Source organism: Homo sapiens, chromosome 7 (genome assembly GCF_000001405.40).
Source record: "Homo sapiens chromosome 7, GRCh38.p14 Primary Assembly".
NCBI classification, from domain to species: domain Eukaryota; kingdom Metazoa; phylum Chordata; class Mammalia; order Primates; family Hominidae; genus Homo; species Homo sapiens.
The window spans coordinates 153,047,002-153,067,314 of NC_000007.14; the positions used below are offsets into that span (position 1 = coordinate 153,047,002).

Here is a 20,313-nt window from a genome sequence, read left to right on the forward strand (position 1 = left end):
TTGAGTCTCCTACAGGAGGGTCAAGTTAGCCCATTTTCTACTTCTGAGTTCTGCTCTGTAGGGAAAAGTGTCATAACTAAGGCTGAGTGTGTACTTGGGGACTCCAGGGTTGATAGAAGCATTGGCTAGTGTTTCCGTTTGCATACCAATTGAGTAAAATGAAGACTTACCAACAGTTTGGAAACCCTCCGATGCTCCTACAGGGCCCCTGAAGAGCCATTTTCAACAGTGATGAATGTGCTGCTTCAATAGGAAGACTTCACTCCTGCAGCTGTCAATCAACTCTGCACCAAGGCCCCTGTGTTCGGGGCAATGTCGGTGTAACTGCTATCCTTCCAGTTTCCTGATGTTTTCCTGTGCTTCAGAATTCAGTCTACTCCAAGTTACAAGGGTGCCAAAGCCATGTGAATGACAGCCTTAACACGTGGCCAGCTGTCCCCTGTGCTTCATGCAACCACATGCTGGAGCAGAGAGGTTAAGTGCTGGGCACTTTCCTTCTCCTAGGGCGATCACAGTCAGCAACGGAGATTCATGGCAGCCATTTTGGGCTCTTGTTGCATCGTTTGTCATGAAAATGAGGTATTAGAATTTCAGTGCCTAATATGCTTCGTGAGTTATAGCGGAGAGGAGAGCTGTGCCTTTGGTATTTCCGATAATATGTAGCTTTGTCAAAAGCTGATGGCGAACGATCAGTTCAAACGTGCCTTGGAAAAGCACACTCTTCATGTCAAACGGCTTACATTGTGGAAAAAAATTACCATCTGTCAAAATGCGGATGGGAAGAAGCTCGCACGCCTAGAGGAAGCCATTTTCACCCTCAGAAAGTTCTTTTAAGGTGACATCTCGATGACGGGCAGGGGCCCTCCATGGCAGCCTGAGTGACAGCAGCCTGGCTGCGGCTTTCTGACTGCAGGTGCCCCACTCAGGGCTGGTGCTCCCAGGAGCCCAGGCCTGGCCCTGCGTGTAGGAGAAAGCAGCTGTCTAGAAGGAGCTGTTTTAAAGTTCCCCACGGAACATCAGTTTACCTAAAACTATTTCCTACCCACCCAGAATCGTGCTCAGGATGGTCACCGTTTGATTTATGTTGTAGGAGCCATCTGGAGATCGATGCATTTAACTAAATTAAACTTCTATCCTCCCAGGAAAAGAATATACATTCACCAGCTTGTGGGGCTCTTGTAAAGGGAAAAACTAGGGCCAATTGTTGAGAGCTCTAGGGAGGAAGATTTTAATTCAGTTAGGACCCAAAATGGAAAGGGTTCTTGACAAAGAACTCCCTGATGCTGGGCACATTCTGATAATGGCCATAGCGGATGGGAAGTGGGGTCAGGTGGGCACTAGGGTTCTTTTTGACTCAGACGGTCTATAATTTTATAATGAAGAATGGGGAGCACAAGGGGATTCTCTTCTTTTTTTTTCTGTTTATTTTTTTTTGAGCTGGAGTCTCAATCTGTCACCCAGTGGCTCCATCTTGACTCACTGCAACCTCTGCCTCCCAGGTTCAACTGATTCTCCTGCCTCAGCCACCCAAGTATCTGGGATTACAGATGTGTGCCACCACGCCCGGGTAATTTTTGTATTTTTAGTAGAGACGAGGTTTCTCCACGTTGGCCAGGCTGGTCTCAAACTCCTGGCCTCAAGTGATCCATCTGCCTGGGCCTCCCAAAGTGCCGGGATTACAGGCATGAGCCACTGCTCCCAGCCTCTTCTTTGGAAAGCCAATTAATAATGTTAGTAGATGACTGGGCAGGAAAATCTAGGCCTGGTCCTGTTCCATAGATTCCCCTGGGTGATCCACATCACTTCTCTAGTTTCCATCTATTAAATAAATGGACTGTTCTCAGTCTCCGGGGGCACTTCCCATTCTGATATCCCACAGTTCTCTGAGCCTGGTTAAGTCATGTAGAATCCTTCTGATTACGTTAGAATGGCAGAATAATAATATAGCACCAGAGTGAAGAGAGGGCAAGCTTTGTACCAATTCTAAGTGATTGGTCGTGGCTACTTAGAACACTGCTCCAAAGAAGGATTGGAGGCTAAGTTCAGAGATGACTGGGAGGTATTTCCATAAATAGTGAGGGGCATCTGCCAACGGGGGTGGTGTGGGGAAATGCTGACGATGAACCATGACAGTTCACCATCCTGCAGCAGATCCTTGGAAATTCAGCTTCCCCTGTTTCGACCATCACAGGTGATCGATGGCCCATGACATGGCCAGGAAGAGGGAGTGTCTGAAGTAGGCTGAGAGGCTGAGTGAGGGCTGCTGGTCACAGGCAGGAAGATCTCCGAGGCCTTGGGCCTGGAACTGCAGCTCTGAGCTCATTGCCTGGGACTGTAGCTTCTTCCTCACCATAAGACATTGTTGTTCTCTCTTTATCATGTCTGAAGTTATTCTTTAAGCCTTTCAGGTGCATTTTATTCCATTTTATGGGGGAAATAACTGATTTTGAAGATCTGAGAAGGCTTCTGGAAAAAAATCACTCATAAATGTTGAGAGTGCATTGTAGAAAGCCTTCCCTACAGCACAGAAATGTTTAAAGCATGAACTGAGCGGCTGGGCATGGTGGCTCACGGGAGGCTGAGGTGGGTGGATCATCTGAGGTCAGGAGTTTGAGACCAGCCTGGCCAACATGATGAAACCTCGTCTCTATTACAAATACAAAAATTAGCTGGGCGTGGTGGTGTGCGCCTGTAATCCCAGCTACTTGGGAGACTGAGGCAGGAGAATTGCTTGAACCCAGCAGGTGGAGGTTGCAGTGAGCCAAGATTGCGCCATTGCACTCTAGCCTGGGTGACAGAGTGAGACTCTGTCTCAAAAAAAACAAAGAAACAAAACAAAAAAAAAAACAACCATGAAGTGAAATAAGGCATATAAAAGTGCTGTCTGAGGTACAAAGCTGCACCACTGTAATGCATCATTAATATTATTAATAATAATTTGCCCTTCATCTCTTCAAAAGTGGTATGTAAACACATTAGCAAGATGTAACTTCAATCAAGCAGTCCATGTTAACAATAGGAAGACTGATAGAGAATTAATGTCTGAAGAAACAGGCCAGGCACGGTGGCTCACACCTATAATCCCAGCACTTTGGGAGGCGGAGGTGGGCAGATCACCTGAGGTCAGGAGTTCAAGACCAGACTGGCCAACATGGTGAAACCCTGTCTCTACTAAAAATGCCAAAATTATCTGGGCATGGTGGCGCATGCCTGTAATCCCAGCTACTTGGGAGGCTGAGGCAGGAGAATCGCTTGAACCAGGGAGGTGGAGGTTGCAGTGAGCTGAGATCGTGCCACTGCACTCCGGCCTGGGTGACAAGAGCAAAATTCCATCTCAAAAAAAAAAAAAAAGTCTGAAGAAACAGATATAAATTGGAGAAAAACAAAGGAACATAAATCCCTCAGAGGTGCACTATGCATCCTTTATGTGCCTTTTATCTCCTTTTATTTATTATTTTATTTTTTAAATTGACAGATAAAATTGTATGTATTTACCATGTGCAACATGATGTTTTGATATATGTATATACATTGTGAATGCATAAATCTAACTAAAATACACATTACCTCACGTATTTACAACTTTTATGGTGAGAACACTTAATATGCACTCCGTTAGCATTTTTTCAAGAATATAGTATGTTATTAACCATAGTCACCATGTTGCACAAGTCTGTCGAACTTATTCCTCCTGTCTAACTGAAATTTTGTATCCTTTAACCAACATCTCCCCAGTCCTCCACCCTTCAATGTCCCAGCTTCTGGTAAACACTATTTCTATTTCTATGAAATCAACCTGTGGTAACTGAATAGTACCTCCCACAAAGATGTCATCACCCTAATCCCTGGAACTTATGAATGTGTAACCTTACATGGAAAAGAAACTTTGCAGATGTGATTAAAATTATGGACCTTAATAGAGGAAACTTTTCCTGGATTGTCTCTACGGGCCACTGTAATCACATGAGCCCTTGAAAATAAAGAACTTTGCCCAGCTGGAGTCAGACAGATGTAGGATGGGCATGAGAGACTGCAAGCTTGAAGTGGAATCACCGCACAATTGCTGCCTCTGAGATGCAGGGACCCATATGTAAGGACTAGAGAGGAGTTCCTAGGAGCTGAGGGTGGCCCTTAGCTGGTGTCCAGTAAGGAAATGGGGACCTCAGTCCTACAACCACAAGAAGTTGAATTCAACCAATAACCCGAGTGAGCTTGGAAATGAGTTCTTCCCCAGAGCCTCCAGAAAGAAATGCAGCCTGCAGACACCTTGATTTCAACCTGGTGAGACTCGTGTTGAACTTCTGACCCACAGAAACGGCAAGATAATAAATTTGTGTCGTCCTGTAGTAATTAGTTACAGCAGCAATAGATCATGAATCACAGTCCCCATGGCCTGCAGGACAGCTCAGAACCAACACATGCCAGTAGCAGGTCAAAGGCTCGGCATCACTGTCCAGTTTCCAGCTGGTCTTTCTTCTCTGTCCTTCTCGTAGTTCTATTAATATTACGGGGTTCCTGTCTGGTCCCAAGCTCTAGTTCCCTGCCCAGTAGCTCTATCCTTTAAGAGCCAGGATCCTGCTCTGCTGTGTTCCCAACTTCAAAGACAGATGTCCAGTCTTTTAGCTCAGTTGCTCCAAGCAAACCCCCTCCTGATTTGCCAACTGCTGGGCCTGCAACCCACCCCATCGTCCTTAACTATCTCCTATCCAAGGTCTGCCACCTTCAGAAAGACATGTCCCTGATAATTCAGCTAATGATGCTTTGTCATAGAAAGCTCCTGGGAGGAAGGTGAGAAACCAAGCTTAGAAGTCTGAGAAGTCTGCATGGGAAATGGCATGAGCTAATGCACTGAAGCAAGATTGAGTGATGAAGTGATGTTGGCAACTCTGCAGGAAGAAGAGAGACGGGCTTGTGAAGCCCCAGAGGTTCAGTGGTCAAGTAAGTGTGGGGATGCCCTATTAAGTGTATGCAGAGCAGAGTAAGAAGGTTACCTGGCTGGATGAAGGACTGTCATCAGGAGACATGAATACAAGGAGCAGGAAGGAAGAACATTTGATGCATGAAGGATCTGAGAGGCAAGGCTGAACAAAGGTGAAAGAGAGAGCAGAAGTGTATGGAAGAAAGGCAGACAAGAAGAAGGAAAACATGACAAAATGGAAAGGGAAAATCGTATTACCTGAATGCCCACCATTTGCTAGGCATTGTGCTTTGCATATGTTTTCTCATTTGATTCTCACGACAACACTGCAAGGTGGATAGAATTTGCCTTCCTTTACAAGCAAAGAAAAGGAGGCTCAAGGTCAAATAACTCAGAAAGGAAGAGCCGTGATGCTATGCTAGATCTGTCTACACAAAGCCCCTGCTTTCCCCGCCTTCTCCTTTTCATCTACCGCCTCTCGTAAAAGGATAGAGTCTTAGTATGTGTGGAAACTCTGGGTGACTCTGACTGCAGAGAAAAGCCATTGTCTTCATCTGATGTCTTTATAGTGACTTTCCTCAAAAGGAAAAAACTTCCCCCAAGAAGAGGAGTAACAAAAGCAGACAAGGGCTCAGCTTTCCTGGTAGTTTCATTCTATCTTCAAAGATACAACAAAATGAAACAGACATTTTCATCCCTGAAAATATCCAGGGCCATTTCCCAGCCAAGTGTCATGGATGGTGAGGTGTTCTCTCCACTTTCTTACCTCTGTCATGCTTTGTGAAAAATCTTCTCTTCCCTTCCACCAGGAACTGTATTGCTCCTCTGGTTATAGTGTTGAAGTTAATAGGATAGAATCTTTTTTGCGGGGGGACTGAGAGGAGAGGGATGACTGATGAAAAGAATTTTATTTTCAAGTTACAATTACATTATGAATTAACAGTTTTATCCTTAGAAATACTTTTGTCTTGTATCTAATTTGTCTAATAAGTTTAAGTCCCCAAAAGATTTATTTGTTTGTTTCTTATGTTGTTACTTTAAACTAGCATAATATTGACAAACAATCATAGTACAGGGCATTTCTTGACTAATGACAAGTTAGAAGAAATGGCTGGTTTGGAAAGTCTGACAGCAATTCATCCAAGGCGTTATTACATCTTCTTTTTATTTTGTTTTATATTTCTCCTCCCCCTTTCAGCTTTATTAAGGTGTAATGAATACATTAAAATTGTATATATTTACAGTATACAATATGATGTTTTGATATATATAATGAAATGATTAAACCAAGCCAATTAACATATTAATCACTTTACATGCTAATTGTGTGTGTGGTCAGGAGATTTAAGAAGCACTCTCAATGGTCTTGAACTTAACAATATTTTGGCTTTGTAATGGTGTGAAAGCTATACGCATTCCAGAACATCAATAAATTACATGAGATATTGAATACTTTATTACAAAATAGGCTTTGTGGGCCGGCGCTGTGGCTCACGCCTGTAATCCCAGAACTTTGGGAGGCCAAGATGGGTGGATCACGAGGTCAGGAGATCAACACCATCCTGGCTAACACGGTGAAACCCCGTCTCTACTAAAAATACAAAAAATTAGCCAGATGTGGTGGCAGGTGCCTGTAGTCCCAGCTACTCGGGAGGCTGAGGCAGGAGAATGGCGTGAACCCGGGAGGCGGAGCTTGCAGTGAGCCGAGGTCGCACCACTGTACTCCAGCCTGGGAGAGAAAGCGAGAATCCATCTCAAAAAAAAAAAAGGCTTTGTGTTAGATGACTTTGCCCAGTTGTAGGCTAATGTAAGCGTTTTGAGTACATTTAAGGTAGGCTAGGCTAAGCTATGACGTTGGTAGTTTAGGTGTATTAAATGCATTTTTGGGTACAATATTTTCATCTTATGATGGTTAGCCCCAACATAAGCATGTATATGCAATATAATATTATTAACTATGGTCATGAGCTGTACAATAGATCTCCAGAACTTACCTATCCTAACTGAAACTTTGTGCCTTTTGACCAACTCCCCATTCCTCACCCTCCTCACCCAAGAAAGGATTCTAAGGCCATATTTCCTTGGCTTAAGTCCCTGCTCTGCTACTTCTTTCTAAGAATGTGACCATGTGGAGCTGAATCTCCATTTGTAACTCAACTGAGCAGGCTTTCACCTGGCAACTCCAGTCATCGGGCATCCTCCACAAATTAATTTATGATGAGCAACAGAGAGTGAGACCCTCCTAAAGCTCATTGAAGGGGTTAATGCCCATCTCATGGGTCCTATGTGGACATTTAGGAGAAATATCAAGGAAGGAATAAACCTCTCCTTGTTTCTTTTTGGAGGAAAGTCAGAGCGGAGTTGGGAGAGGTATGCACACTGGAAAATGAATAACACAGCTCAAGTAGAGTCTTGTGTTGCAAACAAAAATGATTATGCAACTGCTGCAATTTTGGAGCTTCTTGGGGGCATGCAGATCCTGTTTTTCTGCTATTATTATAGTCAGTGTAAGTAATTTAAATGTTTGTAAGTCAACATCGTGTCACCAGTTCTACATGGTGGCCATTCCTGCATAGAAGGATTCCAAGGACTCAAGGATGGTAGAACTCATCCTCCTGGTATGTTGGCCTTTATGAATTGACAAGTTATCGGAAACGGTGGCAGTTCATTACTTTGAGTGCTTTCCCTTTCTCTTGTTACCACCAAGGAAGGCTGAGCTCACCCAAAGGGCTCATTTCTCCCATCTAATTGTTACTAAGGGAAGGAAATGCCTAAAGTCATACAACTCTAGTGTTTGAGAGACATAAAAGAACTTAAGGCCCACTTGATTAAAGCATTGTATCACGTATGACATGTCTACTGTGTGCCAGATACTGTTACAAATATTTGCATGGAAGCTATCTCAGCACTTTATGAATGTACTTTTGAAAAAATTCATGTTTGATTCTCACTATAAACTGTGAGGAAGATATGGAAAGTATTAGTACATTAAAATGACCACAACCACTAAGGATCTGAGAGGTTGAATGACTGAACCCAACTGGTAATTGGAAGAGCTGGGAGCGACATCAAGAGTTTTGGCTCTTGTCCTGTGATCTTCTCATTGTGTGGTCATGTTTTTCTGAGGACAAGTTTGGATATGGTGAAGGAGGAGGGGAGTGAGAGAGCACAGGGCTCCACTGCAGGCATGGGGAGGAGGAGCTGGCAGAGGGAGTGATGGCTGAAGATGCATCTGCTTCTTCCCAGGGTTTCTAGGGCCAGCTGTAGCTCATTTGGCTGTTGTTGATTTACTCCCCTAGCTTTCTTCTGGAGGACAAATAGCAATCAGTGGATATTGAGTAGTATTGGGTTAGACTGTGAGATGTGTCTGCTGATCTGTTCCACCTACTCCACTTGTACCTGCTTATCTCTTAAGTGATGTAACCATGAAGCACTCTTTGCACACATTTCACTTTGCAAATCTCCTCCTCTTTGTGCAAATTTCACTTCGCATCTCCTACACTTTGCACAAATTTCACTTTGCAAATATCTCATTAATGGCCTCTGAAGTTAATTTTGGATTCTCTTAATTTAATAATTGTTTAGAAGTACTTTTTATGATTTGCTGCCCCTTTCACTGAACCCGTTTGTCCCCAAGAGCAGGGACCACATCTGTTTTGTTTCTTGTTGTATCTCCAACAGTATATCTCCCAGCTCCTCCTTCTGCTTCCCCTTCTCCATTTATCTGCACTTTGAGAAAAGGCAGTAGAGTTGAGATAGGAGCTGGTGAGGCCAGCACTGGGCTTTCCATGGGAACACACCAAGATCCACTCCTGACTCCCACGTGGCTGCTGCTGGTCAAACCTGTGCCTGGTCTCCCCAGCCCTCACGAGGAGAAAAAAACAGCTCCTCAATCCACCTCTGTAGGGAGAGATCAATGATGATAATGACTATAAAAATAAGAGTGTATGAGGGAAAACATGGTGCATTTAGATAAACTTTTTTTTTTAAAAAAAACAAACGACAGTTTTTAGTCTTGTGAGGGAAACCATTAGCTTGGTCTTTGGTATCAGCAAAAGCTAGATTCTAACCATGATTCTTCCTTTTCCTAGATATGTGTGTGACTAGCTAGGTCCACCATGGCATTAGTTAAGGTTCTCTGGAGAAACAGAGTTAACAGGATATATACAGATGTGTAAGAGGAGGTTTATTATGAGAAGCAGCACACGTGATTACACAGGCCGAGAAGCCGCACAACCTGCTGATCTGACATCTGTGAGCTGCAGAACCAGGAGAACTGACGATGTAATTCAGTTTGAGTCTGAAGTTCTGAGAGACAGGGGTTAGGGGTGAGGAGGGGACTGCTGGTCCAGGGTCCAAGGCTCCAGAACCAGGAGCACCAAGGTCTGAGGCAGGAGAAGGAGGATGTGCCAGCTCAAGAAGAGAGGGAGAGAGAATTCACCCTTCCTTGCCTTTTTGTCCTATTCAGGGCCTGAGAGGATTGGATGATCCCCAGCCGCACTAGGGAGGGCAGATATTCTTTACTCAGTTTATCAATTCAAATGCTAATGTCTTCCCCAAACACCCTCACAGATGCTCCAGAAATCATGTTTCACCAGCTATCTGAACATCCCTTAGCCCAGTCAAGTTGACACAGAAAATTAACCATCACAGGCATTTAATTTTTTATGGCCTCTTCCATCATTTATATGAAAAGAGATAAAAATATGCACCCCTGAGTATGTTGAAAAAAGGAATAGCCATGTCCATAATGTGTCCAATACAACACATTGTACAGGTTGAGTATCCCTTATTTGAAATGTATGGGATTGGAAGTGTTTTGGACTTTTTCAGATTTTGGAATATTTGCATTATGCTGACTTTCGATCTGAAAGTCCAAAATCTGAGATGCTTCAATGAGCGTTTCTTTTGAGCATCATGTCAGCACTCAAAAAGTTTCAGATTTTGGGCTGGCCATGGTGGCTCATGCCTGTAATCCCAGCACTTTGGGAGGCCAAGGCGGGCAGATCGCCTGAGGTTGGGAGTTTGAGACCAGCCTGGTCAATATGGTGAAACCCAGTCTCTACTAAAAATATAAAAATTAGCCAGGCATGGTGGCAGGTGCCTGTAATCGCAGCTACTGGGGAGGCTGAGGCAGGAGAATCACTTGAACCCAGGAGGCGGAGGTCGCTGTGAGCCAAGATTGCACCTGGGTGACAGAGTGAGACTCCATCTCAAAAAAAAAAAAAAAAAAAATTCAGATTTTGGAGCACTGCAGATTTTGGATTTTCAGATTTGGAGTGCTCAATCTGTATGTGGTAGCCATTTAATTAAAGAGAGAAGGAAATAATAGTGAAGATAGTGATCATAAAAAAGATGAAGGAGGAAGAGAATGAGGAGGAGGAGGAATGGGAAAGGAAGGTGATATCTGAACTCATAAAAGTCACTACTTTTTTAAGCCTCTGTTCCCTGATTAGTCAAATGTGTCTACTGCAATTGCCTCTCTTTTTTGTGAAGATAGAGTGAAACAATGTATGATGAAGGATCTCAGAAACCATGAGGTGCTCTACACCCAGAGACATGATTACTAAGTAAAAATGTTATAGATCTATAAATCATGTAGCATTTTCAAAGAGGGGCATGTGCAACACAGGAGTGGTGCACATCGAGGTGCTTAGGAGGCATTGACTCTCAATGTGACATGGATCTGGCATTGACTCTCCATGGTGCACGTAGAAGTGCTTGACTCTCAATGTGACACAGACCTGGCCCTGTGAGTCCTCACCTGGAGAGGAAATGTGGTTTGTCTCTCTGATTCTGGACACTCCCATCTGCCCTACAATAAACCAATTGATACACACACTATTTGCCGTGCTTGATCTTGTAAAGCAATACTTTCTTTGTCAACAGTTTTAATCAGAGTGGTGAAGCCAGATTGAAACTGTTTAGCTAGGATAATGGGCTGACAGGAGATTAAACAGGTCCCTTGACAAGTGACTGTCCCTCAAATGCCAGCACTCTCGCCTGGCACAGCTGCACGTAATCAGCACCCAAATTCCCACCTGCCGGGAATACATCACCCGATCTTTGCTCCTGAGCCTGTGACACCTGGAGAATGATCACACATTCCTTGCATGTTATCTCTCCTTGGCCACTGAGGTGGTTTTGGGGGCTGCACTGAGAATTATTACCTTGTTGATCTATCTGTTCCCAGCCCATTTTCCCAGCCTAGCAACAGATTACACTCCACAGGGAAAAGCCATGTAATACTCTTAAGACAATTCCTTACCACGTAAGAGCAGCCATGTAATTGCTCTTAGTGACCAATTTCTCATATTCCAGGTTCATTTGAAACGCACAAGAATTAAAGTTTCCAGCAAGGCTTGAAAGACACAAGAAGTTGAGTATTAATTTAAGAGGTACATTTGGGGATATTCCCTACTCATGCTTGATGTTTGATGAAAGACTTATGGTGGGTGACTTAGCTAATGCATCTACCCTTTAGTTATTTCACTTAGCAGAGAAGCTGGATGGATTTTGTGCTCCAAAACCGTGTCCATCCAGCTCTGGATCATGTGGGTGTTTTGTGAAGGACACGCTGCTCTCATGTCACCCCCACTTCCTCTTCCGCCTTCCTTTGGCCTTTCAGTGATCTACCATTCTCCGCTTTCTTGCTCCTGCTCTGTGACCCTCATTTTCTAAAGCTATTCAGTTTTTACCTGCTCTCCACAACCCTCCCATGTTCCTCTGGGTAGATGCCCCTTTCACTCTGCTGCCAGGGACAACTGGGCCATTTCTACCATAACACATCCTATGCACTGCTGCAACTGACTGGTGTGACTCTCTGCCACCAGACTGTGGGCTCCTCTTGAGAAGTGATTTCTCCATGCATTTTTATGTCCCTAGGGGCTGGTCCAGTGCCTGGCACAGTGGCCAACTTTATTAGACATGAAGATGGTTTTCAACCACTAAGTGAGTCTCTCAATTGTAAGATATAGAACAAATATTTTGTTATGAGATTGTGAAGTTTGCAAATGAATTACATAAAAACGTAAATTACAGAGGCATATTGGTCAGATCCTGGCAGGAAACAGAGGGCAAATTCATACTGGGAAAGGGAGGGGAATTCAGCGAGAGACTATATGTAGGAGGCCCAGGCAGGTTTTAGGAAGCCTAGAAGGGGTAGTGGGACCCTGGGATTAGCAGCTATGGGCCCATTACTACTCCTGGACCTTCAAGGAGATTGGGCAGCTGAATCCAGAGAACATAGCTGTGTGTAGAGGGACACTGACAAAGGCTGTGGTCTTTGATAGAGAGATATGGCAAGTCCATGGTGACCCAGGAGAGGGGAAGCTGAGGCAAGAAGTACCCCCATCACTCTCTCTGTTCTCTCCAATCCGACAGTGATACCCACTGGCCACATCAAAACTGCAATCAGGGGACTTTCTACAAAGGTCAGCATCCTGGGGCATAGGCATATGGAGGTCAGTGGGGAGTGGATGTGGAGGGGCAAAGAGAAGCTCTTCACCCATTTTGCCGTATAGCATCTACTCTGATTTTTTTTTTCTGTTTGTTTGTTTGTTTGTTTGTTTGTTTTTAGATGGAGTCTCGCCCTGTCGCCCAGGCTGGAGTGCAGTAGCACATCTCGGCTGACTGCAATCTCTGCCTCCCAGGTTCAAGTGATGGTCCTGCCTCAGCCTCCCGAGTAGCTGGGATTACAGGGATGTGCCACCATACCTGGCTAACTTTTTTTTTTTTTTGTATTTTTAGTAGAGACAGGGTTTCACCATGTTAGCAAGGATGGTCTCTATCTCCTGCCCTCGTGATCTGCCTGCCTTGGCCTCCCAAAGTGCTGGGATTATAGGCGTGTGCCAGGCCCCACTCTCATTTTTATCCAGGTGAAAACTTCGTGTCTCCAATATGGACATGGGGACACACAAATGTGAACTGACTGCCATGCCCTCATGGAGTGTCACATTCCATCACTCCTGCCTAATGCATACATATGCTGCCACCAGGGTTTTCATGGAATGTTGCATTAGAAAAGGCCAGGGGAAAGAAAGATTAATGTATCTAAAATATAGCTTGCAAAGCTTCCTTTCTGTAGCTGGTTAAAAGGCTGATGTTGGCCGAGCATGGTGGCTTAAACCTGTAATTCCAGCACTTTTGGAAGGCTGAGGTGGATGGATTACCTGAGGTCAGGAGTTTGAGACCAGCCTGGCCAACATGGCAAAACCCCGTCCCTACTAAAAATACAAAAATTAGCCAGGCATGGTAGTGGGCTCCTGTAATCCCAGCTACTCAGGAGGCTGAGGCATGAGAATCGCTTGAACCCAGGAGGCAGAGGTTGCAATGAGCTGAGATGGCACCACTGCACTCCAGCCTGGAGGATAGAGCTACTGTTTAAAAACACGAACAAAAAGACTGATGTTAATAATTGTGGCTGACTTCTCCTACCACCCAGTTCACATTCTTCTTAATCTCCACTAACACTTCAGATGGACACGGTTCTTCACATAATGGGGTGACCCAAACTTTGATTCCTATAGAATTTAATGATTGGTAGTCTTGTCTTTGTCAGGTGATGCATGTTGCCATTTACAAGAGCTGCTGGAAAGGGGAGAACTGAGAGCATCCCAGTGAGCTCCGAAGGATCCACATCTGGTCTTCCTTGCCCAGTTGTGTAGCAGCAACCCAAGTTCCTTTAGATAATTGGGATCAACCATCCTGACCAATTCTGTGATCTCTTTCTCTTCCTGTTGGTTCAATAGCATTAAGCTCCCCAAATGACCAGGGGACTATCTCAGATTTTGGCTCATCCCATCCATGAGGATGTTCTCTGCTGGCAGCATTCCTCTCTTGAGCAGCTCAGACCCTCAGCCTAAGTTTAGAGGTGGGAGTGGTTCTGAAAGCACAAATTATCCCCATGGGTTATTTGGTATTATGGTGGGAGGGTCCTCCCAGTTCTACTCATTTGTTCACAAACTTCTGATTATGGGGGAGAAGGCATCACTTATTGGTCACAGGCAAACCACAGACTGAATCCAGTAGGAAGCACCTAGCCTTGCAGGGTGTAGCTTCTAGCTGACCCATAACAGGCCCTCCTTAGGCCTTCTCACATCACTAGCTGCTGCTGGGGGCTAGGCAGTCAGAAGATCAGTAAATTTCATGGGTACAAGACTCGGCAGCCCTCTCATTGCCACATCATGTATAGCATGGACTGTGGCCATACTGTGTTGGGTATTATGGTGATGGGTGAAGCATTCTGTTATCGAAGTGCTCCTGTGCATGTACAACTTTATGGTTTGGTGGATGGGAAAATATCTAGTTCATGCAGTTCTGCCATTGACTGTCCATGGTGCAGGTAGAAGTAGCAGTTTGAGATACTCAGTCATCTGACCTCCCATTATCAGGTGCTCAGACTAAAACAGGTCATGAATGCCTTTTCACGGAGAATAGTTGTTGCCAGAGGACACATAGCCTCTCTCCAGGACCTCAGGCTTCTACTAATAAGGGTGGCCAGAGGCCCATCTATCATCTCTTTCTGCTGCAGACACATCCAATATAATTCATTCTGCTTGGTCATAAGTGTCAATAGTGAGGCAGCTTGGACTGCAGCTGGAATCTACTGCAGTGACTTTTATTGCTCTAGGCCCTAAAGCTGGAAGCCTTATTACCTGTTACTCCTTACACAGATAGGAATAGAATTCCCCAAGGTGAATGTGTTGCTACCAAATGCCAAGAAATTCACCAAGCACCATGCATCTCTCTTTACATGAGCAGTGCAAGGTGTAGTAACTTGTCTCTTATCCTAGAAGGGATATCCTGACATGCTTCAGATTATTGGTACTCTAGAACTGTATTGTTTGGTACAGTAATCATTCACCAAATAGGATTATTAAAATATAAATAAAATAAAAATTTAGTTCCCTCATCACACTAGCCACATGTTAGAGACCCTCAAGGGTCATGTGTGGCCAGAGGCTACTGTGTGGGATAGCCTATCCACAGGACATTTCTATCAGTGCAGAAAGTTCTATTGGACAGTGCTGCTAGAAAGTGCAACCACATAGCAGGCCTCTGAACTTTCTGGGGTTTATCTCGCACTCTCTGGCACTCACATGTCTTCCTAGGTGTGGTAGCTGATGCTTGTGATGCTCTGTACCATGGTCCCTGGACCTGATTTCAGCACTGCTACGTGGACAGCTCCACGCCCCGCTGCCAGCATTACACAAACTGCAAACGACACAGCTGATCTTTGCTCATCAGCTTTCTCAGAGGCTACTCAAGGCTGCTTCAACTATGCACACGTACAACCCAAAGTATAACGAAGTCAATGCCTCCGGGGAATGCTCAGCCAACGGTGGGTGGGAGTTAGTGGATAAATAACCGACCTCTCCATCCTGTGATAGAGCAATTCTACATGGTTCCTAGATGATTCCCATTGGGTTTGAGCTCCAGTTGTCTATGGTAGATTAATAACTTGAATTTTATTCCACGAATCACTTTTCGTTTCTTGACATCACCACCCAAAGTAAACTCTCTGTGAAAAATTCGTTGAATCAGAGTCCACTTTCTGGGGAATCAGATTAACACAATTTATCTTGGAAGTGACCCTATGAAGCAGACCTTCAAGATAGGATTCTGAAATTGGATTGCTTCATGGCTATATGAATATAAGAATCCTGTCACTGGAAATCAGTGGGCTGGTTATCAGCCCTGACCTATGGCAGCATTACGATAATCAAGACTTTCAACTGGGGCAGATTGGGATGAGGTCTATGTGAAAGTGAGGACATTGATTTATGCAACAACTCTAGCAATTAAAAGGAATGAGCATGGTGGCTCATGCCTGTAATCGCAGCACTTTGGGAAGCCGAGGCAGGCAGATCACTTGAGGTCAGGAGTTCGAGATCAGCCTGGCCAACATGGTGAAACCCCATCTCTACTAAAAATACAAAAATTAGCCAGGCATGGTGGTGCGCGCCTGTAATCCCAGCTACTTGGGAGGCTGAGGCAGGAGTATCACTTGAACTTGGGAGGCAGAGGTTGCCGTGAGCCAAGATTGCGCCACTGCCTTCCAGCCTCGGTGACAAAGCGAGACTCTGTCTCAAAAAAAAAAAAAAAAAAAAAAAGGAATGGGGTGATGGTAACTACCAGGGAGGTAAAGTGGGATCCACACCTTGAAGAAATAGAATGAGAGGTGCAGGTCATCCAAGCATCAACTCGGTGTGTTCTGTGGTGGCCCGAAGGTTTTCATGGCAGCATTTCAGGAGACCCTCATCTGCAGCTAGAGGGAAAGCTGTGGAGAAAATCAGGTCGCAGATTTAATCATAATATGGCACGATTGCCAAGGATCTTGATTCCTTTGCTTTGACAAGTTTCCTCTGCTAAGATCTGGGATAGAGGTGCTGAAAGGATGCTCCTGAGAATGTGGAATTCCCAGGTCCCTCAAAGCCTCCATGCAGGAAGAAGCAGTGCAGCCCCCTCTCCCAGAGGGTATCAGCCTACCATTACCTGGAGACCATGTAAAGTTCTCACCTGAGGCTGAGGCCTTGAGGATGATGCTTTTCTGCTGATCTGCTTCTGTCTCCCCTCATAATGTGAGGGCGGTCAGTGATCTCTCAGGTCTTTTTTGGCTCTTAAAATCCCATGATTCCTTTGCAGCCCACACCTCGTTCTCTGATTTCCCCCACAGGATTGCAGGGACTCTCACCTTATGGAGAAGACAGGTGTTTGTAGGAGGTATGCTGGGAAGAGCTTTGCTATATCTCCGGAAGGAAGAAGATTGTTTCCCCTTGGGGGATGGCACTTTCAACATGTGGGAGCTTGTCGGGTCACAGAAGAATGACAGGTGAGCTTCAGTGATGCTCCTGGTGACTAATGCTGTGGTTAAGAATGCAGCTGTAGAAAGCTGTCTAAAAAGCATGGATCAGACAATTGTATCTTATTAATTCAAAACCTCCAACAATGAAAGCTTACGATTGCAAGAATAATCTTTGTTTCTGCAATGATTTGATGGGGCAAAAGGGAAATAATCCTTAAATGGATGATTTTTTTAACCATAAGGCAAGTGAAATCTCAGTAAAAGACAAACTCTCTCCCCACCTTGCCCACATTGCCTCCACTCTCACACTTATACACATGGAATGCTATTGAGAGGCTGGTGTATAATGAGCCCATCAGAGAGCCGAGGCAGCTTCAGTGTTGTCATCTGATGTTGTCTACCTGTGGGAGATAGCACAGCATGGGGTTTTGCTGTCAGATTCATATCTGAACCCAGACTCTAATAACTTATTAGCTGTGTGATTTTGAGCATGTTATTTAGCTTGAATGAGCCTCAGTTTCTGCACCTTAGAAAGTGGGCTTATTCATACTTATTTTATAGGATTATTGTTGTGTTGGTTTATATATTTAGCCAGTATTTATTTACGGACTATGTGTGTATTATATACCAGATACAAGTCCCAGGTGATTCTGTATATGATATTCCACTTAAAACACCAAGGCTCTATGCAGCTTGTTCCGTTGTCTCTCTTTCTATGTGCCTTATCCATTTTAGCTTTCCATTCACTCACCCATCCACTCATTCATCTTCCCATCTATCCACCCATATACCCATCTACCCATCTATCTAGTCATTACCCATCCATTCATTTATGTGTCTATCCATCTACAAATCCAACCATCCATTTTCCCATCCATCCATCTACTCACCTATCCACCCATCCACCCTTTCACCTTTCCACCCACTCATCCATCCATCCACCCACCTGTCCATCTGCCCATTTACCTATCCACCAATCCTCCCACCCATCTCCACCTCCACCCATCTACCTATTTACCCATCCATCTACCCATCCACCCACCCACCTGTTCTAAGTGCTGGAGAACAGGCATTTTTATGCAATGCCTGCCTTGAGCTGGTTGTCAGGACACACATGTTCTGCCTTCTCTGCCATAGAGGCAACAAATGTAGTGGCTGAGAACACTGACGTTGGAGCCAGAATGCCTGGGTTTAAATCTTATCACTGCCACTTACTAGTCACATCACTTTGGGCACATATTCAGTTGCATTGCATCTCTGTTTCCCTTTTGTAAAATGGGGATGATGATTACAATAATTCACATAGTTAGTGATAAACAAAGAGTTAAAATGGTGGCTGGCATGCAATACCCACTTGCCTTATTTTGAATAGACTGGGCCCCTAAGTGCAGTGGATTCAGCATAAGGTTTTAAATGAGGTAGACCTGGGTTTGAAAGTTGAGCTCACTATTTACCAACCTTGAACTCTTGAGCAAATTATGACACATTTCCTGAGTCCCCGTTTCCTCAGTTGGGAATATTGCCAACTTACAGCTCAAAAATGTTGACAGGCAGCATCATCTAGTAGAAAAAGCATAGATTCTAAAGTAAGGAATTCCATATTTGAGACTTGGCTCTAAGTCCTGTGATCTTAAATAAGACAGTTGGACAGGTCTTCAGTTTTTTTTTTCCTGTAAAATGGGAATAATAGTTACATGTATCACAGATTTTATAGTGAAAATAAAGTAGTATATTTGAAAACACTGTTTTGCAGTATGAAGCACACTATGAATTCTAATGGTTGGAAACATAACGGTTGCACAGCTGTTCATGTGGCTGTGGTGTGAAGTAAGGATAAAGCCCCAAGAGTTTTGACCCGGTGGGCTCAACCCTGGTCTTGACTTCTGTCTAGTTTGTGATTCTCTAGCTGAGGTGCCAGGACCCCTGGGTACGTGACAGTATGCTAGAAGGGTTTGCAAAACCGCTTCTTGGAGGACCAAGTTTCCACAAAGGTTTGGAAAAATTCGTCCTTTTCTATTAATGACCATGGAGTAGACTATAACTTATTCATGACTTTTTACATTAAAATATGAAGCTTCAAGGAAAATTTGTGATGGTAGTGAGCTGCCTCTGGCTCCAGGACACCATCATCTCTAACCACTCTCCTCTGACTGGTGGTATCCTGGTGGAAAAGGTTAAGAAGCACCAGCATTAGTTGTTCGCCACAATTAGCATGTTCTCTCCCTGAATTGTAGGTTGTACTCTCCAAGAAGAGGTGCAAGTATTTCATCCTAAGAGTAGGGTATGCTTTCCTTGAGGTCTAGGAACTCTGTTGGTGAGAAGACCGTCAGCCAGAGTAACCTTGACTGTAAGTCACAAAAAAATCTCCAACTCACATTGGCTTGAGCAATAGGGAATTTATTTTCTTAAACACTCGAGGTCAGAGCAAGAGTAGTCCCCAGGGTTGAAGATGATGCCAAAAAGGCCCAGGCTTCTTTTCAGATGTCCACAGTATAGCCTATGGTCACCAGATAACACGATGGGAGCTGGCGATATTTGCGGCTACCTGTCTCTGTTTTTCTACACAGCAAGTGGAGGTCGAGGGAGGATATTTAGAGTGTGAGCCTGAGAGACTTCCCACCAATCACAGTATAGAAAGACTCCACTTCAGTCTGATCGGGCACCTTGGGTCATGCCTCCACCTGTAGCCCAGTAGCAGTCACTGAGGACTGGAGTGAGGGCTGCTGCATGGAGTGTGTGTGAAGGTGGAGAGGTAGGGAAGGAGGGCAGGATGCAGTCGGGTAGACAATCCTCAGCCTCTGCTTCAAGTGCCCTCCAGGGAGAAAGAGTAAATGACCTCTGAAAGCCTTGCCTAGGGCTGTCAGGACTTTCCTTGCCAGGCAAATTTCGGTCCATGCCCCTAATACAAAATTGCTCACCGTGGTTGTGATGTGAAATTGCTTGATTCCTGGTTTAGTTTGCTATAATTTCCATTTCCCACGAAGCAGAGAGGACAATGAGAAGAAATGTTATTTTGAGAACAAATAATGAGCTCACTGAGAGCAGAGAGAACCTGGGGGAAGGTGCCTGTGTCTTGTGAAATTCATAAAGGCCAAGACAGGGCATTGCCAGACATCCACCTTAGGAAAAGCTTAGGAAAGCCGACTTCAGGCCTGAGGAAGGGATCCGCGTGAGCTGAGTCAGAGACTGAACAATAATGTGTGTCTCAAGAGGAAGCTTGAAACCCTGACAGTATAATTATGAGAGGGAACGTGGCATAACACTGAGTATGTGCTTTGGCGTCTCTTTTCATCTTAAACCCAAGCTCTGTGACCTTCCAGCTTTCTGTTCTGTAGTAGGAATAAAGTGGGAATACCACTTCTTATAAGAATTAGAGAGAGCACATGTAGTGTTCAGATAACATGTTGATGATGAAGAAATGGTAGTTCTGATTAGGTTGGTACAAAAGTAATTGCAGTTTTTGCCACTGAAAGTAATATCATTGATCTTAAAAAGTAAGAAAAGGGCGCTGGGTGCAGTGGCTCACACCTGTAATCCCAGCATTTTGGGAGGCTGAGGCGGGTGGATCATCTGAAGTCAGGAGTTTGAG

At 44.5% G+C, this 20,313-nt stretch overlaps 2 annotated features.

The window, feature by feature from the left end:
• Nucleotides 1-1,200: an enhancer, noted in NCBI's record as "CDK7 strongly-dependent group 2 enhancer chr7:152744087-152745286 (GRCh37/hg19 assembly coordinates)". NCBI's record gives its function as "activates an origin of replication core promoter dependent on BRD2, BRD4, P300/CBP, MED14 and CDK7 cofactors, with strong dependence on CDK7, by STARR-seq in HCT116 cells {active_cell/tissue: HCT116}" and the evidence as "EXISTENCE:reporter gene assay evidence [ECO:0000049][PMID:35650434]".
• Nucleotides 14,999-15,199: a silencer, noted in NCBI's record as "peak6860 fragment used in MPRA reporter construct". NCBI's record gives its function as "represses an SCP1 promoter by STARR-seq MPRAs in K562 erythroleukemia cells {active_cell/tissue: K562}" and the evidence as "EXISTENCE:reporter gene assay evidence [ECO:0000049][PMID:32103011]".